The sequence below is a fragment of the Homo sapiens genome, chromosome 18 (assembly GCF_000001405.40).
Source record: "Homo sapiens chromosome 18, GRCh38.p14 Primary Assembly".
Taxonomy (NCBI): domain Eukaryota; kingdom Metazoa; phylum Chordata; class Mammalia; order Primates; family Hominidae; genus Homo; species Homo sapiens.
Window position 1 is genome coordinate 48,545,522 of NC_000018.10, and position 15,144 is coordinate 48,560,665.

Here is a 15,144-nt window from a genome sequence, read left to right on the forward strand (position 1 = left end):
AAGGGAATCATCTCAGTGGCTCCCAGGTTTGTGGCCTCACTGACTAGATGGACGGCAGCTCTTAACTCAGGTGCGAACTTCTGGTTGCTGGAGCAGGGTCTGCTGGGGTTGGGGTGGGAGGGAAGATCATGGTGAGTTCAGTGCTCCGGTATTGAATTGGAATTGCTGGTAGGATAGTGGGGTGGTGCTGCCCTACAGACAATGCACTGTGCAAGCTAGAGGCTGCAGAAGTGTGTGCCCAAGCTGAGCCCTGGGAGCGGGGAAGCATTGGCCACTGAGCGTAACCACGGTGAGGGCTGCTGTAGACAATGAGAGCAGACCTCTTCCTCCCATTGTCAGATAATCCTTTGTCATGCCGGCCGCTGTCGTCAGGGAAGCCAGGCGGGGATGCTGTGTCATGCTGGAGGCCCAGCTGGCAGAATCCAGCGACAGCCAAGAGCGTGTTTCAGCTGGAAGCATTAGAGTGAGTTAGGGGAGAGGCATTTCGCTTTTTAACATCCACAGTGAGCAGAGCCCTGTCCCAGCCCCTTGGAGTGTACAGAGTGGGGAAGCCCTGGAACCTGCTTCCAGGAGCAGGTAGTTTTGTTGGGGAGAGAAGATATGAACATATGAAGCCACTAAAAAGCTGTAACAACCCCAGGGAAGAGTGGAATGCAACTTAAATAGAGTGTTGCAGATCCCTCTCTTCCTGCCATACTTCATTTTTATAGAGCTGATGTGTTTTAGGCAAACGTCCAGTCTTTGCATGTTTGAATTCTCAGAACCGACAATAGTGCCTGGCACATTGTAAGTGTGTGTTCAGTCTATGTTTGTGGATCTGCAGGGATGTACCCAGAGTTAGTCGTCTGGGGTGGGAGGTCAGTCAGGGAAGGTTTCCATAAGCACGTCCAAAAGGGGCATCCCAAGACTGATTTAGAATACTTTTAGTACCACAGTGGAGTAAAAATCTTGAAAACCTTCCAATGACAGAGCACCTAGAAAGGCTGTGTAAGCTGTAGCTAGCGTCCTTTCAAAGAAGAGCTAAGCTCATGGAATGTAAGGGAAATCCCCAGGGATCTCAGGCAGTGTGGACGGTGAGCTCCAGCTGAGGCTCGTCTAGGCCTGGGGGTTGGGAGAGGTGTTGAGGGGTGCTTCCTGGCCTCAAAGCCCAAGGGTTTGAGTCGTGACTGCATCTCCTCCGAGACTAGAGATGATACCAGGAATCAAGAGCCCTGCCTAAAACAGGACCTGGTAAAAGTTTGCATGCTGGGAGAAAGGATGGACTAGACAGCAGCCCGTCCGCATGGGGGATGGAAAGTGGGTGTGCTGCTTTTTGTCTTGACCTGGATGTGAGGTGGAGAAAAATCTTCCCTAGAAATGTGAGACCTCAGGCCTGTTAGAGCTTTGAATGTCCACTACACATGTGGTCCAGGAGGCCCTCAAGAGAGAAATTAGCATGTAAAGACTTGGGGGCCAGTGTCTTCCTGACTGTGAGCTCTAGGGCATCAGGGGCCTGGGGAGAGTCTGGGGCTCTTTGCCCTTTGCTGACTTAAATCTCCACCTTGGGAGATGCTTTGCGATCAGGGCAGGGTAAGTGAGGGAGGAGAGAGAAGAGAAAGGGCAGAGGTGCCCCTCGGTAGGAACCTTTTAAAAGGGCCTTGGAGACAGCTGCACAACTCGGGGAGGCATGTGCAGGATGGCAGAGAAGGACAGTTCCATCCAAGCCTTCATCTCTTAGGAAAAAACTTCAGATGAGCCCCGTCTAGGAAGCCCAGAACATTCTCCCTACTGCATACTCAGGTCAGGTTCTTACAGATAAGGTTTCTTTCCAGGGTCCCCTTAAGGGTGCCCTGTGCAGATTGCAGTTGCTACTGGTCCTCTAGACTGGGCACTACATTGTCTTCCCATGCTCAGAGTCTTTAGTTCCTACAGTTTCAAACTCAGGAGACATCTTAGAGGTCATCTGGTCAACCCTCCACCTGGTGTGGGAATCCTGACTGCAGCAGCGCTTGGTTCCAATGTGCTTGCTGCTTGTGGCCGGGAGTTTATTGCCTTGGAGGCAGCGCCTTCCCTTATGTTATAGCTGGAAAGGCCTTGTACTGAGCTCTGGCCACCCTCCTCGCTGGCCATTTTCACCCATGGCCCCTGCAGCTGTTGTGAGAGATGGTTTCTAGACCTTTCACCATCCTGCTTGCTTCTGCTGGAAGGGCCTCCATTTGTCAAGCTGAGATTCTGTGAGAATCCAGCCAACTTCTGTCCTAACTTACTTCACACAGAGGCAGCTTTTGAAGATAGATGTGAGGGTAGCTGAGCCGGCTGCATAGGCGCAGTCTGTGATGGGGGAGTTCTGAGAAGCTTTGGCTCGGTGCTTTTCGGATGATCATGAGAGAGGCAGCAGCACCTGCTGCAAGTTCCTTCCTCCGACGCCCAGAATACATTTCAGCTTATAAGTAAGTAACTTGGGAATCCCATGCAGGGAGCTGTGTGGAATTTATTGAGTGCAGGGAGTTTATTGAGTGCCTGTTAAATGCCAGGCACAATGCTGGGCGCTCTCTGTGTGCCTCGCTAAATGAAAGTAACCTCTCTGAGGGAGACAGAGAGGCAGAGATATGGTAATGCCTAACTGTAGTTATGACAATTGAGCCCTGAAGGGATTCAGAAAGAATGTGTGTGGTTCCATCCAGAGTGGGTGGAGCTGACACATTCCCCATGCTGTTCCCTTATAGGGCCTTCCCCTGGGGTAGGCAGTATCATGATCTCACCAGTAGCTGGGAACACACAGGCCTGTCCCACACTCTTGGGGCATTTGCTGAGATACTTACACGTTTGAACCATGAGATCAAGAAAGTGACCTGCTAGAGAATTCACATCTTGGCATGTCACCAAACAGGCTGGTGTTTACAAGCAAAGTATTTTTTACAGCATGCGGTTTATCTGTCTCCGGTATCTACCTACAGTACCCTGGGCACTCTCAGGAAGCAAAATGTCTTTCTGTTCCTCCATCTCCTTGATGCTTGGCATCTGTGTGGGTCACATATTCAGCAGATTGGGTAATAAAGAGCATGCGTTGCCTTTGCAGCAAGGTTGCATCAGATGGCTGGACGTGCCTGGATGTGCTCTGCCACTGGCATGAAGGACCCTGTGCAGACAAGGCCAATAGTGAAGGTCAGGGATTCCGAGAAAGCACCCAGTTTCTCCTCTTCTCCCTCTAAAAATGGTTTCTTCTGCCCACATTCTATTGATTTGCCTTAATCCTTTTAGCTGTTAACCTTTGCCTCAGTTTAGTGGACACACATGGTATCTGCAGTGGGTCTGGCTCTAGGAGTGAGGTGAGATGAATTGAGGTAAGCCTGGCAGGGTCCCTGCTGCCCATCTGCCCATCTTGCTGGGGAAGACAGAATAGCCTTGCGCTAGTGTAAGGTGGTAAGTATGGGGTCAGGAGAATGAAAAGGGTGCCAAGGCAGCCAGAAGTCGGATGACTGTGAATTTTTTTTTTTTCCAATGGATAATCATGCTGGGACACAGATATAAACTGAGGTTGTCCTGGGTAGGTGAGGGCTTATGGACACATGGGCCAGGGAGGGCGTATGCATGTGGGTCATACCTGACACTATTATCAGACACTGTTATCAGTCATTTATACTGCAGGGTGCACATAGGGGTGATGGGGGAGGTGCTCGTGCACAAGAGGAATTGGCAGCTGTTTCCTTCCTTTGCTTAGAGGACGTAGGGGAAAGCATTATCTGTGGGGACTGAACTCAGAATTCAGATGGGGCTCAGTTTACAGCCACAGGGTTCTATCTTATATCTCACCATGATCTCAGTTTGGGGATTGGGGTGGAAGTATGGACAGATGAAAACCATCGGGCTTGTGGGATGTTATTGGCTACAGGTAAAAGAACAGTGTACTAACGATGGCTTTAAAAACAAGGTGTTTCAACTCAGCCAGAAGTCTAAAGGTAGGAGCTCTAGGGTTGGTTCATTCAGGGAGTCAGCGATCATTTCAAGGACTCTGTCTAACCTAGGCTGCCATCTTCAGCACATTGGCCTTTGTTCTCAGGCCAGTCCCCTTATGGTCATAGCATGGCTGCCACTGCTCCGGGCATCATGTTCTCACATAACTGCGTCCAAAGGCAGGCAGGAAGGTTAGATTCTCCTTGTCTGTCTTAATTTGTCAGGAAGGGAAGCCTTTCCCAGAATTCCCCTGCTGAAGATTCTATCAAGGCTCCTTGAAGAGAAACGGGTCAGTACCCATGCCTCCGCTCCAGTGGAGGAGGAGAAAGCAAGTCCCTGGTGCTTTCGCCTCATCTAGAGCAAGAGGCAAGCTGTGTTTGCAAGGAAGTGGGGAAGGGAGCAATGGTTGGCTAAGCAAAGAGGAACATTTACTTCACCAAGTTTCAAGATGTTTTTATTTATTGGGGGGGAGTTAGTGAATTAGCTTTACTTTTTTTTATATCTCAATATTGTTGAGGTTTTTGTTTGTTTGTTTGTTTTTTTAAAATCTCACCCCCTAGTTCTGGCAACCACCAACCTGGTTTATATCACTATAGGTTTGCCATTTCTGGTAATTATTACTTCTTAAGCCACAGGTAATGCTGGTGCATAGGATCCCAGGTGTTCCATGGATGCCTTTTTTGTGGTCCCAGGACATGGGTTCTGTGGTCTGTTCTCCCAGCAGCTCCTCCACTTTCCCGACACTGGGGCCAGGTGGAGAACCCCAGTAGGCAGAATTGTCCAGAGGGAGGGAGCATATGTCACTGGTGGCCTAGGCAGCAGGACTGGAAAGGCCTGAGGGCCTGAGGCTCCAGTGGGTTGGTAGAGGATGGCAGTCACCTTTGCAGGCAGCTGTGGGTTGGGGAGAGGAATTGGTGCTCAGCTGTGGCCTGCACATTCTGCAGAATGAGTTCTGTTGTCCCTGCTGATTGGGAAGCCTGGCCCCAGGGAATGCAGGGTGTGGGAAGATGGTGGTGGATGCCACCTTCCCCTCCCCAAACCACTATCCCCTCTATACATACACATGCAAACAGCCCAGGCCGTGGGGCTGACCATGCAAGCTAAGAGACAAATCTGTCCCCTCTGGGCTCCTCTCCACTCTGCTCAGGGTGTCACTGTGTCCTCCTCCCCCTCTTCCCACAGCACAGTCTGTGGGTTGCTAGAGCACTTAGCACTTCCCATCACTCCCTGCCTCCTCATCATTCCTTGGATACTTGCCTATCTGTCCCCTGGGATCATGAGCACCTTGCTACTGTCCTGGGAGTCATCAGGGCATTTCCTATAGGGCTAGGGTGGTGCCGGCCACAGGGTCCATGCTTCATGGAAAAAAAAGTATTTTTAAGGCAAGATACATATTTCTAGAAAGGGACTTGTTCATTTGGTTATCTGTCCAGATTCCAAACCAGTTCCGTGTGGCACTGCACAGTGCCCTGGACGAGAACTTACGGATCTCTACATGTTTTCCTCCCTAAGAGGAAGAAAGGTAATCAACTATCCTGTTCTGGGCTGAATTGTGTCCTCTCAAAATTCATATGCTGAAGTCCTAACTCCAGCGCCTCAGAACTGGATTGGTGGCCAGGCCTTTAAAGAGGTAATTAAGGTAAAATGAGATCATGAGAGTGGGCCCTAATCTAGTATGACTGGTGTCCTTAAAAGAAGAAGAGGACACAGATAAGACACAGATGGGGTCAACAGTGTGAGGATGCAACGAGAAGGCAGCCATCTGCAAGTCAAGACGGAGGCCTTGGAAGAAGCCAGCCCTGCCAACACCTTGATCTTGGACTTCCAGTCTCCAGAATAAATACATTTCTGCTGATGAAGCCACCCAGTCTATGGTGGCCTGCTATGGCAGCCCTAGCAAATGAATATGGAAGGATTCTCCCCTGCAGCTTGTGGAGGGAGTGTGGCCCTGCTCACACCTTGGTTTTGGACTTCTAGCCCCCAGAATTATGAGATCATACATTTCTGTTGCTTTCAGCCACCTGATTTGTGGTCCTCTGTTATGGCAGCCATGGATACTAATACACATGCATTGTGTGTTATGCTTGTGTTTAGGACTTCACCCCCTAAGTGTATTTCATCTTTCAGCTCTGAGTGTAGTTGTTATTCTTCTCTTTTGCAGATACACCTGAAAAGTTAGCATTCCTCCTGAGGTCACACAGGGAAGCCAGGCTAGAAACCCAGGCCTGTGTGGACTCTGGCCTGCAAGCTGTTGCATTTGGGCAGTGGGGAGATGTCTGTAAACGCAGGGATTGAACAGGTGGTCTTTCTCCTGAAACCTGGGTGATCCAATAATAACTTTCTTTTTCTTTTTTTTTTTTGGAGACGGAGTCTTACTCTGTCACCCAGGCTGGAGTGTAGTGGCGCGATGTCGGCTCACTGCAAGCTCCGCCTCCTGGGTTCACGCCATTCTCCTGCCTCAGCCTCCCGAGTAGCTGGGACTACAGGCGCCCGCCACCACGCCCAGCTAATTATTTTTTTTGTATTTTTAGTAGAGACGGGGTTTCACTGTGTCAGCCAGGATGGTCTCTATCTCCTGACCTCGTGATCCGCCCGCCTAGGCCTCCCAAAGTGCTGGGATTACAGGCGTGAGCCACCGTGCCTGGCCTAATAATAACTTTCAAAGCCTAACAGTTGCTAAGTATTGTGGTGTCATAGTAAGCACTTTGCATGTGCTGTCTTCATTAGCCATTACAGCTTCTGTTTCATAGATGAGAAAATGAGGGCACTTCTTCCAACGGGGACATTTAAGCAAGAAAAGCCAGTGACTTGGCCAAAGTTGCATACCAGGCTTGCCAGTGAGAAGACAAACTGAGGACGGGTTCTCTGAACTGTGCCCTCTTGGCTCTCTAGAAAGAACTGTGTGGAAATTTCTGGATTCCTGTGTCTTAGTCCATTTGGGCTGCTATAGCAAAATACCATAGACTGAGTAGCTTATGAACAGGAGAAACTTATTTCTTGGGCTAGGAAGTTCAAGATCAAGGTGCCAGCAGATTCAGTGTCTGGTGAAGGCTCAATTTTTCATAGATTGCACCGTCTCACTGCTTCTTTTCATGATGGAATGGGTGAGGACGTTCTCTGGGGTGTCCTTTATGAGGGCACTAACCTCATTCATGAGGCTCTGCCCTCATGACCTAATTGCCTCCTGAAGGCCCCACCTCCTAATACCATCGAGTCAGTGGTTAGATTTCTAACTTGTGAATTTTGGGGGGATACATTCAGACAGTAGCGGAGGTTGAGTGTTTTACCCCAGGCCACACAGCTAAGAAGTGGCATAACCAGTTTTGCTCAAGCTTTGCCTGTCACACACAGGGATTGGCAGGTTCCCCTGTAGTCCCCTGATGTTCTGAAAAGGTCACTGGTCTTAGATTGGCCACCTGTGATCTGGCTGCTCTCAGGGAAGTCACTTCACATCTGGGTGCTTTGTCCTCGGTGACCTCAGGGCTTGGACGATATAATACTAAAGTCTCTGATCCTCTCATTCTGAGGTTCCCAGTGCCCATCCTTCTATAATACAGGGATTAGGAGGGAGAATCCCTGAGATGTTTTTGACATTTGCCTACACCTGAGGGAACAGTTGCACATCTTCCTGATACGGCCAGTTGGAAGTGTGGTTTGGCCATTCATTCCTTCCCTACAAAATTACCTCTTTGCACAAGGTAGAAATGATCCCCACCTTGTGCCAGGTTTGTTCTAGGCTTTTGATGGTGTGGGCTTTGAGTGACGTCCACAAAAGCGTGTGGGGAGAGGGTTGCTGGTGAAGTGATGTCACTGTGATTTCCTCCTCTAGGTGAAACAAAAACGTGGTTGCCTGCAGCCTCATTCGCACCAGAGAGAAGCCAGCCACGGGCGTGGCAAGCCTTGGAGGCCCAAGTTGAGCCAAAGACCTCTGTGTCTTTCCCTCCATCCTGTTTCCGTTTGCCTTTAGGCCCAGGTGGCTGGCAGATGACGGTGAGGAGCGGGTGATGGGGTAATTCCCGGAATGCAGACTGTAACCAGGGCAGTCAGAACAAGGATTGTTAACCTGCAGCCGCCCAGCTCCTGGCTCATCCCACGAGGCGTTCGTGATTTTACTCACCTCATTAGAAAAGTTTACTTAATGTATCTGTCGTAGATTTTAGAACTGGAAAAGAGGTTGAGTGACTTTCTTTTTCTTTTTCTTTTTCCTTTTTTTTTTTTTTGAGACAAGTCTCGCTCTGCCGCCCAGGCTGGAGTGCAGTGGCGTGATCTCAGCTCACTGCAAGCTCCGCCTCCCGGGTTCATGCTATTCTCCTGCCTCAGCCTCCCGAGTAGCTGGGGCTACAGGTGCCCGCCACCATGCCCGGCTAATTTTTTGTATTTTTTTTTTTAGTAGAGACAGGGTTTCCCTGTGTTAGCCAGGATGGTCTTAATCTCCTGACCTCGTAATCTGCCTGCCTCGGCCTCCCAAAGTGCTGGGATTACAGGCATGAGCCACAAAGTTCCTGATTCTCTGCGGCCCACTCATGACCTCAGAGCTCCAGACTCCCAAGCTCCCTGACACCAGTATTTGGGTGGATGGGAAGAGGCCTGCAGATTGCAGTGGGTGAAGAGGCTGTGCACACCCAGCTGCTGTGGTGGAGTGGCTGTCCGCCAGTGTGACCAGCTAAGTTGTCTTCTCATTTCTTGCTGTTGTTGGTGCCACCAGGGGTCCTTACCCCTGGCATTGTTGTGAGGTGCCTAGGGAGCTGGCAGGGCTAGTGCACTTCTTCCAATGGGAACATTTAAGCAAGAGAAACCAGTGACTTGGCCAAGTTCGCATACCAGGCTTGCCAGTGAGAAGACAAACTGAGGACTGGTTCTCTGAACTGTGCCCTCTTGCCTCTCTAGAATGAACTGTGTGGAAATTTCTGGGTTCCTGTGTCTCCCTCAGGAACTGGCTCCAGGCTGCCCCTGTACCCAGCGGCCCTTGTCTGTCTCCTCCCAGGCCGAGGCAGGCACTGCGATGGAGGCACCCTCTTCACTGTGTTTGCCAGTGCACTGCAGTGGAGAGGTTATGCCTTTGTAGGGTTGTGGGGATAGGGCTGAAAGCCCCCTGAAGGCAGGATCCACGATGGAGGAGCATTATCGTACTCTGGTGGGCTGGGAACATGGCCCCTTTCCCAAGTTCTCCTCTCTGTCAGCCTAACACCAGCTTTTCGGAGAGAAAGAATCTTCCAGGTTTCCTGAGATTTGCCTGAGGTCCCTGAGGCTCTCCTTCCCACTTCAATCTAGAAGATGGGAGAGGCTCTAAATGACTTAATCACAGATCTGAAAGCCCAGAAGGACCTGAGAGAGGCTTGGCCTCCTGCAGGCATCTGCCTTGTAGCCTCCCGGGAATTGGAAGCTTACAGCTTTGCAGCCCAGGCCATTACTTGGCAGCCCGGGCCTAAAGACATTATCTTAGACCAAGGTGTGCCTCCCAGTAGCCCTGGCTGTGATCTGAGAGGCACACAGAACGCATATCCCATTCTCCTTCCAGGGTGACCAAGTATTCAGAGTGCCAAATCTTCTTTTGGAGGTAAGCTCTCTTCCCTTAAGGTTTCTCTGGATAAGGTGTCCAAACCTCTCCTGGCTTCCCTTCTCTGTACATCTCTTTTATCAATGCTTCTCCTAAAATGGGGACACGGAATGGAATACGGTGTTCGAGGTGTGACCTGAGTGGTGCAGGAATCATGCTGCTGTCACCTCCCTCCATCTGGACACTATATTTCTGTTAATGTAGCCCATGACTGTGTAATTTTTCTTCATGGGCAGCTTCTAGATATGGGGATTCCCATTCCTTCACAGCTCCTGCCAAAATAATCTGTGGCAAAGATCTGTTTCCCCAGCCTGGACTGTTCACAGCCCTGATGAGTAGCCCAGGCCACCTCATCTGAGTCCCCTTTGAGTGGCCCAGGGAGCTAAGGTCAAGGGTGTTCAGAAGCTGGTGAGATTATTGAGGCCTGACCCACTTTGCAGAGGAAGGCTGGAGCTTTCTGCCCAAAGTGACTGTGATGGGGATTGGGGTGGATGGGCTTCCAGGCCTGGAGAAGGTGGGGATGTTTCATGCAGGCTCCTACCCCTGAAAATCTGGCCACCCACTCACCACTGGGAACCAGCTCCTGTGTCTTAGCACTGCCACCTCCCCCTGGGCCTGCCAGCCTCTGGCTTCATTTCTTTTTTGCTCAGGAAGCAGAGATAAGGTTTGGTGCTCACCTTTGCCCAGTTGCATAGAGACCCTGTGACATGGACATATTGGATGACTTCCCTGGCTGAGCCATGGAGGAAACTGTGTTTCAACTGAAGACATTCTTGTGGTGTCTGCCCCCAGGGAAGTCTCTTGGTATGTGTGTGTGACACAGGGCTCAGTTTGGGGCACTGGGCATGGGGAATAGGGGGCAAAGGAAAGGAAGACTCAACTGTGCTTTCAGGGAGCCTTCAGCCAGCAGGAGAGAGAAACCCTGAGCATGCTGGCTGATGGGAAATGTGTATCAAAAGTTTCCTTTTGCCAGGAGGAGGCAGGCAGGACTTTCAGCTCCCCAAGTCTGGGCCATTTCTGGAAGCATGAGGGTTTGGAGCTTGTCTTTTTATTCTAAACATTGAGCCTGCAGTTTTAACTCCTGGGCTGCCCGTTGGTCTTGTCTGTCCTGAGCTGCCTGCACATCGATCTGATCGTGAAGGGTGGGTGGTGAGTGCTCCGGATCGTCTCAGCAGCATCTCTGCCTTAGATGGATTCTCAGCTGCCCATCTGGAAGGTCAGGATGCCAATAGGTGGGGGCATCACTGTGGAGTGGTAGCGAAGAATTCCAGTTTTGAGGCTCACGAGCTTCCAGGATTCCAGGCTTGGCTCTGCATAAAGCTCACTACAGAATCTTAAACTCTTTGTGACTTGGTTTCCTCACCTTGCCTTTGATAGTGGAGTTGGAAAGCCCCAATGCAAGGGGAGGTGATGGTCTGCTCAGGCACCCCGCCCCAAGAATAGAGATGTCAGTGATTCACAGGTGCACAGAGAACAAGCTGGGACATCCTCAAAGTACACACTCTGGAGTGCTGAGAACTGGCTTGTTACCCACTCAGCTGCTCACTGGCATTGTGTTTGTTTGTTTTTTTGAGATGGAGTCTCACCCTGTTGCCCAGGCTGGAGTGCAGTGGCGCAGTCTCAGCTCACTGCAACCTCTTCGTCCCAGGTTCAAGCGATTCTTGTGCTTCAGCCTCCTGAGTAGCTGAGATTACAGGCACGCACCACCACACCTGGCTAATTTTTGTATTTTTGGTAGAGATGGGGTTTCACCATGTTGGCCAGGCTGGTCTTGAAATCTTGACCTCAGGTGATCCACCTGCCTTGGCCTCCCAAAGTGCTGAGATTACAGGTGTGAACCTCCATGTCCAGCCTGCTCACTGGCATTGTGACCTTAGGAGAGTTAATTTTCTAAAGCTCTGCTTCTCCAGCTATGAGATTGGCATAACAGTGTCTACTTCATAAGGCTGCTGTTAGAATGAGAACTAATATATGTTATACACTTAGCCCAGTGCTTGGCATGGAGCTGAGTCTCTGGAAAGGATGGCTGTTCTTATGATCATAGGCAAATACAGTGTGGTCAGAAGAGTCCAGCAGGGACTGAAGGAGGGGTGGGGCTGTAAAAGCAGATGGGATTGCAGAGGAGGGGAGATTGTGGCCTGGGGGTAGGGACAGGAGGATGGTGGGGAAGAGATAGAGAACTGCAGAAACAGTACCTTGAAGGCCCCCTGCAAAACTTGTTTGGAGACCTGGAAATTCACAGGTGTCAGTCACCCTTGGGCTACAGAGGGGGCTGGAACTCAGGCTGGTCATGAACCATTTTGTGCCCCCATTGTCCCAGCCAGAGCTTTTGGATGAGGGATAGGCACGTGACCAGAGCCAGGCCAACCAGGAACCTTCCCTGGAGTTTTCTGAATGGAAGCTGGGAGAGAAAGTCCTTTTCTTCTTGAGGGCATGGCATGAAAGAAGCCTGGCAGCTTTGGCCACATCCACTGCCGTGGAGAGACCTGTCCTGGGGAGACAGCACAGCACTAGCAGCTGAAGAGAAGCAGAGCTGGAAACTTAAGAGAACCAATACCTCTGCTCGATTTGTCTTCCTCTGGCTTGGTGCTGAATTTGTTAGTTTCTATAGTCTCTGTATTAGTCCGTACAGGCTGCCATAATGAAACTCCACAGACTGGGTGGCTTAAACAACAGACATTTTATTTCTTCACAGTTCTGGAGGCTGGAAGTCCAAGATCACAGTGCTGGTAAATTCAGTTTCTGGTGAGGGCTCTCTTCCTGCCTTGCAGACAGCTGCCCTCTTGCTGGGTCCCACACGGTCTCTCCTCTGTGTTTGTGCACATGGGAAGAGACAGCTGTCTGGTGTCTGTTCTTATAAGGACACCGCTTCTATCCTAATCAGACCCCACCCTTAGGACCACACTTACCCTTTATGACCTCCTTAAAGGCCCTGTTTCCAAACATATTTATGCTGGGGATTAGGGATTCAATATGTAAATTTTGGGAGGACATAATTCAGTCTGTAACACTTCTCTATTCAGTAGATTCCCTTTCTTTTTCTTTTCTTTTCTTCTCTTTTCTTTTGAGATGGAGTTTCACTCTTGTTGCTCAGGCTGGAGTATATTCCCTTTCTGTGCCTTAAGGAATGGCATTCATACCACTGGTAGAACACACAATGATTTTCAGTTAGATACTTATGGACTGGTACAAAATATAAGCCATGTATTCATCTATGTGTGCATTAAAGAATGACAAACACAACTAGTACATAGAATTTGTGATGTTCACAAGTGAAGGGAGTATTCAGTATTGCTCTGCAGGAGGCTGAGTTTAATAAAAAGTCAGTACAAGGTCAATAGTAATGTTACAGTTGGTACACGGGTATGACAGAAAACTCCAAGGTAGTGAATTCTGGGTAATGTTGCATGAACTAGTTTGGGTTGGGTTTGTGTCACTTGGCACTGGTAGAGTTTTGAATAATACATGTTCAATTTCAGCCTAAGGCTACCTCTTTTCATGTAACAAATATGGGTTCCTAAATGTTTATTTACATAAAACCTTTATACATATAATTGTAATTTCGAGTCACAAAAAGTGGTCAGCACCTAAAGACAACTGTAGTAAATATTTTTGTAAAGAATCCTTTTTTATAGTATCTGGTTTGTTTCAAATGCATCTGTTTTGCAAATTTAGATTCTTAAACAGCAACTTGTTATCTAGGATTTTGGTCATCAGAAACTTCTCAGCTGGCACCTGAAAAACATCAGCACAGTGACAGTTGATATATTTAATTGTTCAAATGATCATCTTAGCATCAAACATGCTGCAATAAAAAGTGTTCTCTTTGACATCCATTCTCCAACCAATAATAAATACACTTATTCAAAAGTTAAGTAAGGGGTGTATTTGAGAGCTAACCCATCCTGGTAAACTCATACTGGAAAACCTGATAAGCGTTTGCAGATCTTTTTCAGAATCTGTAAGAGTTATGTTGTAGGAGAGATAATCACCTGTAGCACTGGACTCAGCATTTTTAGACTAGAATATCCTCTCCCGTCTTGTTGAGTGATGGTGATCATATTTTCTGAATCAAAAATCAGGATGAGTATTTGGATATTTGAAATCAGAACTTCTCCTAACTATCATCTTTTATCTAGATGGGGACTCTGGAGTCTCATTGTCAAATTTGTTTATGTGCTCATACAAATTTTAAAAAAGTTTGTTGTTGTTTTTTTTTTTACTTAAAAAATTGGCCCTACCTTCAGACCATCCTGAGACTTATTTCCTCATCCTAGTTTTCCCCGAATATCTTAGCTCGTTTATTAATATGATAGAATGTTAAATGAGGTCTGTAGTCCTACCACCCCCCCCAATCCTAACAAACAAAAGAATATTTTCTAATGTTACCTGTGGAAGCAGATAGCTTGGTGGGCTGAATAAATGATTAGAATTTAAGAGCCTAGTTTTAGGTATTCTAGTTACTGTAGGCTGTGTGAAAAACCACCCCAAAACTTAGTGGCTTAAACAGCAATAATCCTTTGTCCTGCTCATGAGTCTGTAATTTGGGCAGGGCTCAAGAGCTACAGTTTGCATCTATTCCACATGGCATCAGCTGGGCTGCAATCAGAGCTGGAAGATCCACTTCCAAAATGGCACATTCTCATGGCTGGCAAGTTGTGCTGGCTGTTGGTTCTTCTCCATGCAGGTTTCTCCACAAGGCTGCTTGGGCTTCCTCAAAGCATGGTGGCTGGGTTTGAAAAGTTAATCCCAATGTAGAGTGGAGTAATAGACATTGGAGACTGTGAAAGGTGGGAAGGTGAGAGGCGGGTGAAGATCAAAAAACGACCTGTTGGGTACAGTGTTCACTATTCAGGCATGAGTACACTAAAAGCCCAGACTTAACCACTATGCAATATATGCATGTAGGAAACCTGCACATGTACCCCCTAAATAAATACAAATAAACCAAACAAAATAATTATATATTATGACCAAGTGGAGTTTATCCCAAGAATATGAAAAAAACCAAACCACAAAAGTGAATGGCCCAAGAAACAGGAAGGAGAGACGGCTAATTTCTTAAGGGCTGGCATAGAAATGCCAGTTATCTAACAGTCTCTGGAGTGTCACTTCCATATACTACTGGTCAAGCAGTCACAGAGTCCAGATTCAAGACGGTGGGGACACAGACCCTACTTCTTGTTAGGAGGAATTTCATAGAATTTGGAGGCTATTTTTTTTTTTTTTTTTTGAGACAGAGTCTCGCTCTGTTGCCCAGGCCGGAGTGAAGTGGTGTGATCTCGGCTCACTGCAAGCTCGCCTCCCAGGTTCACGCCATTCTCCTGCCTCAGCCTCTGGAGTAGCTGGGACTACAGGCACCCACCACCACACCCGGCTAATTTTTTGTATTTTTAGTAGAGATGGGGTTTCACTGTGTTAGGCAGGATGGTCTCGATCTCCTGACCTTGTGATCTGCCCACCTCGGCCTCCCAAAGTGCTGGGATTACAGGCGTGAGCCACCACGCCCGGCTTGGAGGCTGTTTTAACCATAACAACTGGTCTCACAAAAAGGAATATCCTTCCTTCTTTTTCTTTGAGACAGAATCTTGTTCTGATGCCCAGGCTGGAGTACAGTGGTGTGACCTCAGCTCACTGCAACCTCCGCCTCTTGG

General features: G+C 48.6%; 1 protein-coding gene across 23 annotated transcripts in view, besides 1 other annotated feature; it reads left to right on the plus strand.

Annotated features, from left to right (window-relative positions):
- The window catches only part of CTIF (cap binding complex dependent translation initiation factor), a 324,187-nt gene that overhangs the window by 6,491 nt on the left and 302,552 nt on the right, over window positions 1-15,144 (plus strand). For 5 of the 23 annotated variants that reach the window (XM_047437960.1, XM_047437965.1, XM_017026101.2 and 2 more), the window contains one exon: window positions 7,763-7,923. The exons of the other annotated variants lie outside the window; for them this stretch is intronic. The gene's annotated coding sequence lies outside the window, so the exon portion shown is untranslated. The remainder of the gene's footprint in view (window positions 1-7,762; window positions 7,924-15,144) is intronic. 23 annotated transcript variants of the gene reach the window in all.
- Window positions 4,373-4,874: an enhancer, noted in NCBI's record as "H3K4me1 hESC enhancer chr18:46076265-46076766 (GRCh37/hg19 assembly coordinates)". NCBI's record gives its function as "activates a minimal SCP1, AML or CMV promoter by ChIP-STARR-seq in naive H9 embryonic stem cells {active_cell/tissue: H9 hESC(naive)}" and the evidence as "EXISTENCE:reporter gene assay evidence [ECO:0000049][PMID:30033119]".